The sequence below is a fragment of the Homo sapiens genome, chromosome 1 (genome assembly GCF_000001405.40).
Source record: "Homo sapiens chromosome 1, GRCh38.p14 Primary Assembly".
NCBI lineage: Eukaryota > Metazoa > Chordata > Mammalia > Primates > Hominidae > Homo > Homo sapiens.
In genome coordinates, this window is record NC_000001.11 from 7,483,341 (window position 1) to 7,497,927 (window position 14,587).

The following is a 14,587-nucleotide window of genomic DNA, read 5'->3' on the forward strand; positions in this document are numbered from 1 at the left end:
TGGTGCAGAGCAGCCCGTGGCAGCGACAAGAAGCCACCACGGCCAGAGACTGCAGTCTGGGAGCCTGGGCCGGAGGGAGACCCTCAGCTCGGGGAGCTCTTCTCCCCACCCTGAGGAAGGGCAGAGACAAGGAATGCAGCCCCCTCAGATCGCAGCCAAAGCCACTGGGAAGAAGCAAGTTCCCTTCCTTTCCTGGGGAGAACTGTAAAAGCCTCTGGGCAGGGAGATCAGCCAGGAACCAGAGCAGGGGCTGGAGGATTCCCCCTTGACCTCAGGCTGCCGGGGCCCAGCGTCCTGAGGGAGGCTGAGAGCTGGCATCTTGCTGACCCCAGGACAGGGCAGTAGCCCAGGGCGGGGAGCAGGGGGTTGCAGAACAGAGTCTCGTCCCACCCTGGGGAGGGAAACCTCACCTTCCTGCAGCCTCCTGCTGACTGGAGGACTCCTCAGGTGCACAGGGAGCTGGAGAACGCAGCCCACAGGCCGTGGCAGGACCCCAGGGGTGGCTCCTGGAGTCGGCCAGCCCCTGACCTGGCTCCCGTGAGCAGCCTGAGCTCCACACACCTCCTGGGCCTGTTCCCTCCTGGGGCAGAGGACCTTTCTATCATTTTTATTCCCACTTTGACCCTTGGCCAGGGAGACTGGGGGAGCCCCACCTTGGCCCTGCACTTACTACCCTCGTAGGTAGGAAGTGCTCACTTCATTATGGGCTAAAATATTGTAGACCCAGCATTCACTCTGAGCCTCACCAAGCAAGAGACATAAAACACAGCCACTTGCAGACCGTGGCCTGGGGCCGCAGGGCCATCACCAGCTCATCCCAGGGCAGACCCGGTGTGGGTAGGTGGGTGAGTACCTGGCACAGAGGGGGGCCCACCTCAGGTCCGCCTTCCCTCGGGGGGCTCACCAGCCTGACTCAGGCTGGCCCCCAGTCCCAGGAGACTGAGCCTCTCCCCAGGAGGCCTGGAAAGGGTTGTCCTGATGCAGCCGCAAGGTCAGGCCCTGGGTGTTCACACTGACCTGGGTTCTAATCCCCCTTCTTCAACCACGTGGAGCTGTGTCACCTCGGGCTAATTAACCCAAAACCAGGGGCTCAGTTTCCTCATCCGCAGAATTTTTAAAGCACTTTGCACAGGGTCGGACATAGACCAGCATTCAGATAACAATCGTGGCCGGGCACGGTGGCTCACGCCTGTAATCCCAGCACTTTGGGAGGCCAAGGCAGGTGGATCACAAGGTCAGGAGATCAAGACCATCCTGGCTAACACGGTGAAATCCCGTCTCTACTAAAAATATAAAAAATTAGCCAGGCATGGTGGTGGACACCTGTAGTCCCAACTACTCAGGAGGCTGAGGCAGGAGAATGGCATGAACCTGGGAGGCGGAGCTTGCAGTGAGCTGAGATCGCACCACTGCACTCCAACCTGGGCGACAGAGCGAGACTATGTCTCAGAAAAAAAAAAAATCGTGGCTGTTGTCATGACCGTTGTGTTGTTACAAAACCACGTGATAACCCCTGATAGAGCCGCCCGTGCTGAGCTGGGCCCACAAAGACCCCGTCCTAGGCTCTCTCCCCTCTCTGGCCATCAGTTGAGTTGTACACTGTGACCCACCAGGCCACTGCTTCCAGCATTCACAGCCAAAGACCTTGGCCAAGCACCGGCCCACGCTCACCATGGGCCATGCCTGCCCTGGTGACTCTGGGAATGTCCCCAGAGCTGCCCGGACCTGGATCCAGCCCCTTCTGTTGCCTCCAAAAGGCTTGGATTCAGAATTCCACAGGAGGATCTTCTCTGGCTGCCCATCCCCAGTCCCCCACCCTTTCCTGGCCAATGGCCTCCCTGTGTCCCCTGATGTCTGAGCCTGAAAGCCACGGCCCTTGTGCGCGCATTACATAGCTGCAGTTGCCAGTTGTCACCCATGTCTCCATCGTGCCTCGTCTCTCAGGGTGTGTCAGAGCAGTCACTCCCACTGCCTTAGGGGAGACAAGAAGGAAGCCCCATCCCACCACCCTCCTGACAGCCACTCGTGCTCCCTGCCACATGCTGCTCTCAGCTCCCTGGGATCAGCTGCCTTTGGGGGCAGCTGGGGAAGGTGAAAGGGTTTGGTCATGGAGCCTCTTCTGCCAAAGCCATAATTCTGAACTTGGAGTAGTATGGGCAGTGCCGGGCTGAGAGCCACAGCAGAGAGAGTGCAGCATGCTTGGGGTTTGGGGCTGACGTTCCTTGCCAGAGTCACTGGCAGGATCTTCTGCTGCTGGGACCCTGCCAGGCTCTGGGCCCCTGGGTGAGTCCAGGAGAGCCCCTCCCACTGAGTCACAATGACTCTGCCCCTTCCCCACCAGGCGAGGCAGGACTTCAGAAACCATCCGGCCCAGTGCCTTGCTTTGCATGGGAAAGCTGTCACCTAGGGCAGGCCAATGACTTATCCAGGGACACCCAGTGACTTAGCAGAAGAGCTGGGCTTGAACCCCAACTTCCTGACTGCATGGCTGGGCTCTTTCTGAGACTTCCCTCTCAATAGAGATGGTGGGCAACCCACAGCACTTTTAACACTCCAGACCAGCTTCTCAGGCCACCCCGGCATGCACCTCAGCCGCCAGCTGTTGGTGTCTGATCAGAGAGTGCACGCTCACAACATTAGCCCAAGTTGAGCTTAATTAGATAAAAGATCATTCTACTGCCAGAAACAGACCATGCTTTCCCAGCTCCAGAAGTGACGTTTGCATATAACTGCTGTTTGAGATGATGATTGCCTCTTTCAGGAAGAGACATGCAACTGCTCCTCAATTCGGTGTGACAGTTTGCAGAATGGCCAGATTTTCGTAGGTGTTCAGATTTTGTCCTGCAAAGCAGTGGTATGCTGGAAATGCCTAACAGTTGGCTCTCCAGGAGAAAGAAAAAATTTCTGATTGGTAACGTTTGCCAATTTCTATGGTGTAAATACCACCACTGTAGCTGTCTTCAAGCTACCAACATGATATCATGATATCCATTGCAAAATTCTCAAAAATGTACCAGGCTGCTTTCATGAGCCAGTACAGGCCAGCTCCAACAACCCAGTCTTGTATTGCCTCTGCACATCCAACCTCCTAGGACCTGTTTGGGCCTCTCTACTTCTGGCCAAGACTGATAATGCTCATGCCTTAAGGAATGAAAGGCAGGGTCTCCCTCTTGAGCCTCCCCTGGGGCAAGTCATCTGTCGCCATGGAGACTTCCAAGGCTGACGGGGGCCTGCTTTAGGCCTCTGAGACCTGACTTCCAGGGTGGTCTCTGTCCCCTGTTGCTACAGCTCAGCTCCTCCAGACCTAAGGCTTAGCTAATCTCAGGCTCCCTGTCTGTCCTGTGTCCGGGATGACCCAAGTGCATCTTTCATCAGGGTCATGGCAGTGCCGCTGTTGGGTTCCACTTTGATGGTCAAAATGACACTCTGGGTGAACCTTGTCTTTCCTCCCTGGAGCTCCATCTCCCCAAGGCAGGATCTGAGGGAAGGTCCTGCCTCTGAAAGCCCTGTGAGCAACCCCCTGGATACAGAAGCGGCGGCTTCCCCAGTCTGCCCTCCCAGCACACCCAAGCTCTACCCCTGACTTCTCTAGGGAAGTGGCTTAACCTCAGCCTCTCTGGGCCTCAGCTTCCTCACCTGTACAACAGAAATGAGAATAGCACCTGACTCAAGGGTTGTTGGGAGGGGAAAAATCCCTAACAAATGTGAAGCACTTAGCGTGATACACGGCACATAGTAGATGCTCAATGAGCACAGATGCTCCTGATAGGAGGGGCTCCTTTCTGACCCGCAGCTGGTCTGTCTCCCATCTATGCGTCTCGTGTTCCTCCCTCCTGTAGCAAGTGCATGAAGGCCCCTCCACGGTTATCGGCTACTCTTCAAGCTCCTCAGTTAACCATGGAGCAAAGAGTTGTGGCCACCAAGAGGGAACTAAGAAGGCAGCACTTTGGGGTAAGAAACCTTTACTCAGGGTCAAGCCCCACCCCAGCTCTGGGGCCATGCCCAGCTACACCAAAGCTTTAAGGCAAAGGGAAAAATCAGTCAGACTGACCCTGTCTTTATTTAAAATGTTGATATTTTGTTCATCAAGGATTCTTGGATTAATTTTGATATTTTAAAGTATTGCACTGCAGTGGCATTTGTCTTGATGGCTGAGTGTTTGGGCACCTCTTGAGATTTCCACCCTAGTGCCAGCTCTGTCTGGACGTCCATGGAGGACCTGCCCGTGCTCTCTAGCATCCCATTCAGATGCTGGACCTGCTGCAGCCTGCAGGTGAGGCTGAGGCTGAGGATGCGGTGTCTTCTCAGCTCTCTGGTCCCGCACAGGGCCTGGCTTACAGCAGGTGCTCAGTTCTTGACTGAAGAGCAGAGGGACAAGACTGCAAGAAACTGAGTGTCCCCAAAGGCTGCACTTTCCAGAGCATTCTTATCGCCCCCCAGAGGAAGGGATCCCAGGCCCTTGTCTGTCCTTCACCCTGATCTCCTCCATCCCCTTCCCCTCTGTCCAGGTTCTTTGCTGTTTCTGCTGAGCCCCTCGGTTGCTCACGTCACAGCTCTGCCTCAGGACCCCAGGCCCTGCTGGGAGCATCTTAGCCATTCCCCGGAGTGGTGTCGTTTGCCGCCACCTCCCACACAGCCTCTCAGGAAAAGCCTGCCTGCCTTTGGAGCCAGGCTCTCCCTTCCCTTTCTCTGAGACTCCTCCCATCTACTCTCTGCAGTCTCTCTGGAATCTTGCTAGAGTCTCTCTGGGTCTCTCTAGAACCTCTCTAGAATCTCTCTAAAATCTCTCTGGAGCCTTTCTGGAATCTCCCTCTAGAATCTCTCTGCAATCTCTCTAGAATCTCTCTAGGTGCTTGATCCCAGGAGCTCTCAGGTGACCAGAGCCTTTCCAGCAGCAGCGCCTGGACAGGGGGCTGGAGCAGCTGTGAGGCTGGGCCAAGTGTGGGTGCTCCTGGTAGGATGTGGGATGGAGGCCTGGAGTGGCCAGGGATGGCTCCAGACCCTGGTGTCTGGCACCCCACTGGCTCCAAGGAGTCCTCATTACCCCCAGCTTCGCTCCTGGAGCCCCAAGGAGCAAAGGGACCCTGAGAGGGGCTGGGATCAGGGACAACAACTCAGCCTATTTCTGCCCATCCCATCACACACACACAATACACACACACGCACATACACACACATGTACACACAATACACATGCACACACATACATCTGTACACATGCATGCACATACATCTGTACACATGTGTACACATACATGCATGATACATGTAACACATACACATACAATATACATATACATATAAGCACATATGTGCACACATATAAACACTTGCATACACACACATATACACATAAATATATACATATGCATACATACCCATAGTACACATAAATGTACACATATATACACATACATGTACATATGCACATGCTTGTAATTTGCAATATAAATACACACATGTAATACAAATATGTACCTTAACATCACACACATATGCACATGATATACACATACATATATACACACAATACACATTGCAGACGTGTACATATGTACATTTATACACACATGCATACCCATGCACACGTCACACACAATACACATTCACACATACACATATACATACAAGCACACACACACACACGCTGCCACCCCCAGCGCCACATGGGCTCTGACATTTCTGCAAAGAGGGACACAGAGCCTCTGGGTAAATCTGAGCTCTCCCCACCTCAGTCACCTTCGGCAACAGCTACCACACTCCGTGGCCTCACATGCAAGAAAACCAGGATGGCTATTATTTGGGGCCTCCTTTGCCACAGGTGGGCCCTGGCCTGGGAAGGGGGGCCATGATGCCTGCCGCCCCCTAGACACACTCCCATTTGTTTCTGTCCCCCGTTTCCAGATGCTGAAAAAGATTCAACAACCTAGATAAGGCCCTCTATAGGACCTTCCAGAAGAGCTCAAATCAAATCACAGCCAAGAGATCTTTCGAGGGTCTTTGCAGGGGAAGGAAACAGCTGTCAGGGCAAGGCATGGCTGATTTGAGGCAGCTCTTTAGAGAGAGGCTGTGTTTGGAGAAGATGTGTGCCATTGGCATGCAGGGCACTGGGGCTCCCGGCGAGCCTCTGCATCTCGTTCTCCAGGTGTCGGAGGAACTCACTCCTTAGGCATCCATGCGTGTTAGGGGTCAGGTAGTATGCCAGGTGCTAGGGTTGCAGGGGTGATCCAGCCCTTAGGAAGCTCACAGTCTAGGCAGGTGGAGACTCACAAGGGACCTGGTGGCAAGTTATTTGGAATGCAAAGCATTGCGCAGAATTTATCCATTTGGTAAATACACACTCGTTAAAGTGGCACGCATCCAGCCTCCCCACCCTCCTGAGGCTGTAGTGGTGGAGGCGATCCTCATTCCTTTCCTGTCCAGCCCTCCACAACCCCTGGCCCGGAGCAGTTCCCATGCCAGGGGCCTTCGGCCAGCATCCCATGACCTAGACGAGGGTGGGACATGTCCGTCCCCACTCCTCCATGTCTGGCCCCGAGCAGACGGGGTGACTGGCTACTGGCATCATCAGCTTGCTTCTGGCTGCTCAGCAGATGGGGTGACTTTCAGCGGTTACGGGAGGGCACTTGGATCCCCGAGGAAATGTTCCACGCCGGGATATTGGATCTCACAGGCCTGCTCTGTGGTGACGTCCTGAAGGTGAAGCCCTCCGCGGCAGCCTCTGCTTCAGGGTGACTGCTTTCTGCTACAGGAGTGACTCGGGCATCCTAGTTAATGTTGCAGAGTACGATAGGAGCAAATAGCTCTTCTCCCCACATCCAGGACCAGCCTGTCCTCTGGGTGAATCTGGTGCTGAGCTTCCCTTGCTATGCCTCCTCGCATGGGATTGCACCGTGCACAATGTGGAGATGTGCTTTCCATAAGAGATGCAGTTAGGAATGTGCGGTCACTGCCGCGGGCATCGATTGCCCAGAACACAACAGTGAGCCCTCCATAAAGTCGGAACTGTCATTATCAAAAGCAGTGATTGGCCGGGCGCGATGGCTCATGCCTGTAATCCCAGCACTTTGGGAGGCCGAGGCAGGCGGTTCACCTGAGGTCAGGAGTTCGAGACCAGCCTGGCCAACATGGCAAAACCCCGTCTCTACTAAAAATACAAAAATTAGCCGGGCGTAGTGGCACGTGCCTGCAATCCTAGCTACTCGGGAGGCTGAGGCCGGAGAATCGCTTGAACCCAGGAGGCGGAGGTTGCGGTGAGCCGAGATTGTGCCACTGCACTCCAGCCTGGGTGACGAGAGCGAAACTCCATCTCAAAAAAAAAAAGTGACAAAGCAGCCCCTCTGCCAGGGAGTGGCCAGTGTGACCTGAGGCCTTGGCACCCAGCCACCGTGCGTTACCTTTTGAGGTCTGTGCTAGAAGGTGCTGCTGCCGCAGGAGTCCTCTGACTGGGTTGTCAGGCCGAGATCCTCTCCTTGATGCAGAAAGTGGGAGGTGCTTTCCTCTCTCAGGCAGGATGCTCTTTCCTGGGAAGACTTTGGGCCTCCAGGCTGAGGACATAACCCCAAAGCAGTTTAGGACTTCTGGCTTCGGTAGCAAAGATATTTCCTTCTGTGCTTGTCTCTTCCCCACTCCAGCTCCGATCCATTGACTCAGCTTTTGTTCTGTGAATGTCATTTTCTTTGAATTTGTGTGAGTTTTGTTGTTTGCAAATAACCTAATGAAACTCCTTCTGTTCCCTTCCAAAACAAAAAGGAGGCTCTAGCATGGTCTACCTCCACATCTGAACTCCTCCAAGCTTTTCTGATGGTGTTTGGGCTGTACAGCACCCTGAGAGACCACCCCCGGCCTCCATGTACCCCCTGCCATCACCTGAGCCGCACTCACCAAGGCAGAGCCGGGAGGACTCCACCCACCCTCTTTCCTGTTCATAAGGTTTCTCAAGGAGCCTCTTGATGCTTGTTTACTTAAGGACGGGCACGGGTGAACTCTCACCCCCACCTGGTGATTTCACAAACACAAACCATAGAGGGGAAGGCTATTTCTCTCACTTTCTGGAAAAGGCCAAAACTAACCCTGAATCCCCCCGCCCATGTTTAGAGTAGACACAGAGGGAAGATGGTTCCGGAATGTTCTGCGTGTACTGCCGATTGTCCAATTGCTTAAAACAGGGCTTGGCGTGCATTGTTTTGGTCATTAGTTAACCAATCTGGGCGGGGAAAAAGGCAGAGCGTTAAATAATTACAAGCACTTCGGTGATTTTTTTTTCTACTGACTAAGGTTAAAATGAATAGTGTTGATCCGTTGCCCAGGCAGCAGGCTTGTTAAAGGAAATGGTATTTAAAATGATTTTTGAGCCAAAGCAATTTGGCTGCTTCAAGGCATCCTTTATCTTTTGCTTTCAAGAGGATAATAATGTTTAAAAACGAAGTCACTCATACCATTTCCTGTCGCGAAGCCAGCTCAGTGATGGGCAGAGCTTCCTCTGGGTTTGTTTACTTGCTCCATGATGGAAAATGCAAACTTAATGGGCTCCCTTCTGCCGAGGCTTTGGTGTTCCGACGAAACAAAGACCCATGCTGCTGCCGAATCTGTGTCCACAGCTCTGGCCAGCTCACCCTGGAAGTCTTGATTGCCACATTGTGGATGTCAGAATGTCACCTGCTTGGTTAGAGCTTCTAAACAGGAGGCTCAAGGCCACTCCCTGGCTCTAGGGTGGAGTCGAGGAAACCTGTCTAGGATGGGACACGCTCCCACTAGGCTCAGGGTGCCCTCCCGTCCAAGAGCATGATGGTCACCCCAGCTGGGAAGTTGCTAAGCAAGTCCTCCTTGGTAGAGCGTCTTTCCCATCATCCTCTGCGAGGAAGGCCAGGGCGATACACTCAGCTTATAGAGTGAAGTCGGCAGAAAGCACAACTTCTCAGTGAAGAGGATAAAAGGAAGGCACTACGGGGGCCCAGGACCTGCTCTGCCCTGCTTAGGGCTGGGCAGGGCTTACGGGCGTGACATGCATAGAGGCTCAGAAGAGCTGGCTCCGGCCTTTTGCAGTCTGGGATCCTCAGCTGGGGTGTGCACATGAGCAAGGGTGCTCTATGCCCCTGCCACCAGCCCCCGGGCTGCTCAGGAGGCAGCAGTGAAGGATGGAAAGGGTTTCCATGGCCATGAAAGAGAGAGAGCTCATCCGCTCCTGCATAGCACTGTGAGGGCTTGAACACACACACGCACGCACATACAAACGCAAACCTACATACACACACGCGTGCACACACACACACAAATGTACATACACGCGCACACAAACACATACAATCACACAAACACAAACATACGAACACACACACACAAACACAAACCTACAAACACACACGCAGGCACACACACAAACACAAACCTACATACACACACGCGCGCACACACACACAAACCTACATACACAAGTGCACACACAAACACAAACCTACGTATACACATGCGCGCACAGACACACAAACATACAAACACGCACACGCACAAACACAAACCTACAAACACACGCGCACATGCACAAACACAAACCTACATACACACGTGCACACACACAAACCTGCAAACACACACGCACGCACACATAAACACAGACTTACATACACATGCGCTCAAACACAAACATACAAACGCGCACACAAACACAAACCTACAAACACACATGCACGCACACACAAACACAAACCTACATACACACGCGCGCACACACACAGACATACAAACGTGAGCACACAACACAAACCTACATACACACACGCGCACACACAGACATACAAACGTGAGCACACAACACAAACCTACATACACGCGCACACAAATACAAACACGCACACACACAAACACAAACCTACATACACACGCACACACAAACGTACAATCACGCACACACAAACCTACGTACACACGCACACAAACATACACGCGCACAAACACAAACATACAAATGCGCACACAAACAAACCTACGTACACACACATGCACACACAAACACAAACATACAAACACACGTGCGCACACACAAACAAACACGTGCACACACACAAAAACACAAACCTACATACACACATGCACACACAAACATACAAACACACGTGCAAACACACAAAAACATATAAACAGGCGTGCACACACATAACCATACAAACACACACACGCGCAGGGGCACACATAAGAAAGTGCCAAGCACAGTACCAGGCACGCAACGACGGATCCACACACTTTAGATCCTTCTCTGACCTTTCTTTTATTCCTCAAAAGCACAGCATCCATCCCCCAGGGAACTGGGGGGGGGGGGGGGTCAGCGGAAGAGTTTGTCCTTGAGGGGACATTGCCCACTCTGTAAACTCAGGGCACCTTCTCGAGGATTCCCTCAAAGGGTTCCCTGGCCACGCATCCTACAGAAGTCAGCGAAATGCAGTTCTATGAAATGAGGCTGTTGGGAGATTTTGTAGTCTTGTGGGTGTGTGCTCTGTGTTCAGCTTGGGGGTCACGTGGCACCTGTCGGGGGCGGGATGCTGCTGAGACCTCTGCAGTGCTGGATGGCCCCATGGGGCCATGTGGCTTCACTCCCCGTCTCTGCCTCCCAGGCTCAGCAGGCCACCCGCCGGCCTCTCCTGCCCATCTCGGGAGGGCTAGCGGGGTAATTTAGGATGGTTGCCACTCCCCCGTGCATTTTAAACACGTTTCCAAACTGGGTTCATTCTGCCTTTGATAGGGAGGTGGCCTTCTGGGTTTTTCTTTCAAGAGATGCAGATTTCATGGACTGCGATTCTTCTCCAGATCTGCTGTTCAAAAAAAAAAAAAAATGTAACTCAGAATTTCTATTTGTTCAGAGGGGGAAAAATCTGCTTGCTATTCAGGCCCTAGATTTTCCTGAGAGATTAGTGTACTTGCCTGCCAAGATGTTAGCTAAAGGAAAACACATTTGCTATAGATCAGAAATATTTATCCTTTTCTGGGCAGGAGATCCGGAGAAGAACCTCATCAGAATGTACAGCACCTGGAAATATGAATAAATTCAATCTCCTGAGCTGCAGGCATCTGCCAGGAGGGCTGAGGCATGGAGGGGCTCTGGCCGTCTCCGGGGAGTTGAAACCATGAGCGGGAAGCCAAGAGCAGCTGCTGGGGTCTGGGGGATGCAGAGGTCAAAGGACCAAGAGGGGCCGGGTGCGGTGGCTTACACCTGTAATCCCAGCACCATGGGAGGCCAAGGCAGGCGGATCACTTGAGGTCAGGAGCTCAAGACCAGCCTGGTCAATGTGGTAAAACCCCATCTCTACTAAAAATACAAAAATTAGCCAGGTGTGGTGGCGCACACCTGTAATCCCAGCTACTCAGGAGGCTGAGGCATGAGAATCACTTGAACTCCAGAAGTAGAGATTGCAGTGAGCAGAGATGGCGCCACTGCACTCCAGCGTGGGTGACAGATTGAGACCCTGTCTCAAAAAAAATAATAAAAAATAAAAGGCCAAGAGGTCTGGTCCAGATAGAAGCCAGGGGAGGAACAAGTAGGGAACAGGCAGCCTTGACCAGCAAGCCGGCAGTGTCCTGAGGAAGAGGACGCTGACCCTTCCCTCCTGTTCTCTACGCCCTCAGACTGGGGCTGGGATCCCGAGACTGTGGGTGAGTGGGGCCAAGCCCTCTCCTGCTTCTTGTCCTGAGAAAAGGATCCTAGGTCTCTGTTGGGCTCCATGCAGTTGCCCCTCAGTGGCTGCCCCCGTCGTTTAAATCCTCTCAAACTCAGGCTCTTGTTTGGTAGCTGCAGAGAAATAAGAGATGCAAACTTATAAATAATTAAGAAACCTAATAATTATCTCCAACCAGACAGCAAGCCTGCATCCTCGTGAGAGACGGAAGATCTGGAGAGTTTCGGGGGGTAAACTACAAACCATTATTTAGCAAGTTTTCCCACTGGGCTTTGTCATGCCTTGATCTTCAACGATCATGATTAGAGTTCATTTGATTCCCGCAGCTGTGTTCTGGGGGCTTTGTGAGGAGGATCAAGTTTGGGATGTGGGTGAGCGTAGGGAGAGGAGGCGATGAATTCCTTGTGACATCAGAGCCCGATCTAAGATCATTTGTCTTTGGGGCCCCATGTTCCATCCCCAGAAGTGATTTGCCTTGACCACCAGCTGGCATCTACCCGGCTTGGGCATGGCAGGGCCCCACATCTCCTGGCACAGCCAGGCAGAGCCTGAGTCGGGTTGTCAGGACTCTTGATGCCTGGCCTCTCATTCCTGGACTGGCAAAGCCTGTTAGCATCCCAGGGCTGGAAGAAACACCCTACACACTTTGCCTTCTTCCAGGCAAAGAAGGATCCACCCTGGAGTCTCCATAGGCCCTGGCCAGGTGCGGAATGAAAATTCCTACCCCCAGATTTAAGTGTTTATCAGGGAGATTTCTGCTCATAAGGACTTTGTTAACCAAGAGACTGTGTCATTTAAGCCAGAGTTCCCTAGATCTTGTTGGAACAGAGTTCCTCTCAGGGCTCCTCCAGGCTAAACCCGCCCAGGAAAGCCTGCGAGTCCTGGGAGGTGACGGGCACTGCCTGTTCCCAGGGTCCTGTCTTGGTCTTGCCCAGAGCACCTCCTGGCCATCGTTTCATTTCAGGTCGATGAAAGCTCCTTGCTTGGCCCTCTGAACTGGGGAACCATTTCCTCTCTCTATCCTGGCCCAGGGCCAGCTCTCTGGGCTGCCCCAGGGAGCCGGAGGGGAGCGGCCTGTGCAGACCCAGCCGCCAGGACCCAGAGGGCCGGCTCAGAGCTGTGTGGCCATCCTCTCCCCGGGCTGCCTTTGCCTGAGGTCAGCCTCACACAGGCAGTCTGAATAGGCTGGGGGCTCCTTTGTACTTGAAAAATAGTCCATGTGCGGGAGGAGGTGCTGGAGAGGGAAAGAAGTGTGTGGCTGTTGTGGGCTCTCTGTAAGATGGCTCTATGTGGGGCACGTGAGCTCGTGACTTTCCGGGTATGGGCGTGGCCTGCAGACAGGGATTTGAACAAGGGTAAGCATGTGGGTGAGGACATGAAGCCCCAAAGAGCATGAGACTGTGGGGAGGGGCAAGTCCCGTGTGCACTGTCTGTGTCCCCCAACCTGTCACAGCCTGCGTGTGCACATGCGTGCCCAGGTCCTCCTGCAGCAGACAGGGCGGACATGGGCTCTGCTGGCTGCAGTGTCTGCCCTGTACCCAGGTGGCTGCAACGCCTCAGATGCAGCAATGTTCCCCTGGGATTAATCCCCAGCATCTCCATTGGGCTTTGCTTATCTGGTGTTGGCTATAATTAAAAAGTGGTTACTTCATAAAATAAAGGCAGGGAGAGAGGACAGCATCCCCTACCCCTGTCCTGTGGTCCTTGGAGAGGAAGGTGCTTGGAAGGTCGTGTTGTTGATCCCTCTGCCTCCCAGTAGGCAGGGGTCCAGCGTCTCCTAAGAGCACCCTGGCCCCAGGCACGGCCAGGGAAGGAGGCCTCCCAGGCCCCAACACCACCTCCCAGGGCTGCTAGTCACTGCACGGTCAGCAAGCGCAACCTCAGGCCAGACACAGCCCAAGAGCCTCCATCCTGAGCAGCCACCGAGACACTCTCCCTTCCTAGGCCATGCAAAAGTGGCACAGCCCGGGAAGGGAGGCATAAAAGCCAAGCCACGGTCCACCCCAGGGGACCTAGGGCTCGAGAAAAATAGCTGAGGCCACCAAGGCCACGGTCTTTTCAGTTTCACTGAACATTAAACTCATCACCCAAGATAAGCAGAAAGAAAAGTGGCTGCCGCTTCTCCTGAGGCCACTCGCTGAATGGCTTCTGTCAGACGGGAGAAGCTGCCCGTCTCACACCTCCCCTGGAGATGGAGCCCCTGTGAGGCCCCAATCCCCACCCATCAGACACGATGGCTGGTCACAGACACTGCGCTGTCCCTGAGGAGGCCTGGAGCTAGAAGCCAGCCACCTCCCCCATGTCAACAGCTCACGCAGGGGGCCAAGCCCAGGCCCCATCCCATCCTCCAAACCTCTTGGTGTCTGGGCAGGCAGAAAGCCTATACCCTGGCTGAAATCCACCCTGGCTCTGCTCCTCACTCTGGGCAACCTTGGACAAGGCACGGCCCATCTAGAGAACAGGAATGACATCCCCAGCCCTGCATGCTGGCAATCTCTTTTGGTGCACGGTGCCACAACCACAAATCAGCCTTTGTTGCTTCACCCACACGTTCCTGGTGAGATTCTAGAATGGAAATCTCTCACGTCACATTGCGTGGTGCCTTCCATTTGTGCTTCTTGTACTCTCATGAATGCTACCACTTTCATTTTTCACTGCACCTTCTCTTAAGGGACTTCCCTGACTGGAGAGACAGCCACACAAACTCAGGGCCCAGAAGAGAATATGACAGAGCTCAGCCATGACGGCAGGAGAGAGCAGACGGACTGGAGTGCGCCTTAGTAAGGGGGGCAGCGCTAGACACCTGGGAGGCCATTTTCATTCTGGAGAGTTGTGCTAATGTGGATTCTACTGTGCAAAGTCAAAACACTGAGGCAGAGACAGATGCAAGCAGCCCACCCACAACCCAGGCAGGAGAGATG

General features: G+C 53.6%; 1 protein-coding gene across 24 annotated transcripts in view, besides 1 other annotated feature; it reads left to right on the plus strand.

Annotated features, from left to right (window-relative positions):
- CAMTA1 (calmodulin binding transcription activator 1) overlaps positions 1 to 14,587 on the plus strand; it is a 984,253-nt gene that overhangs the window by 697,887 nt on the left and 271,779 nt on the right. The gene's annotated exons all lie outside the window — the stretch shown is intronic.
- Positions 8,361 to 8,996: an enhancer, noted in NCBI's record as "H3K27ac-H3K4me1 hESC enhancer chr1:7551761-7552396 (GRCh37/hg19 assembly coordinates)". NCBI's record gives its function as "activates a minimal SCP1, AML or CMV promoter by ChIP-STARR-seq in primed H9 embryonic stem cells {active_cell/tissue: H9 hESC(primed)}" and the evidence as "EXISTENCE:reporter gene assay evidence [ECO:0000049][PMID:30033119]".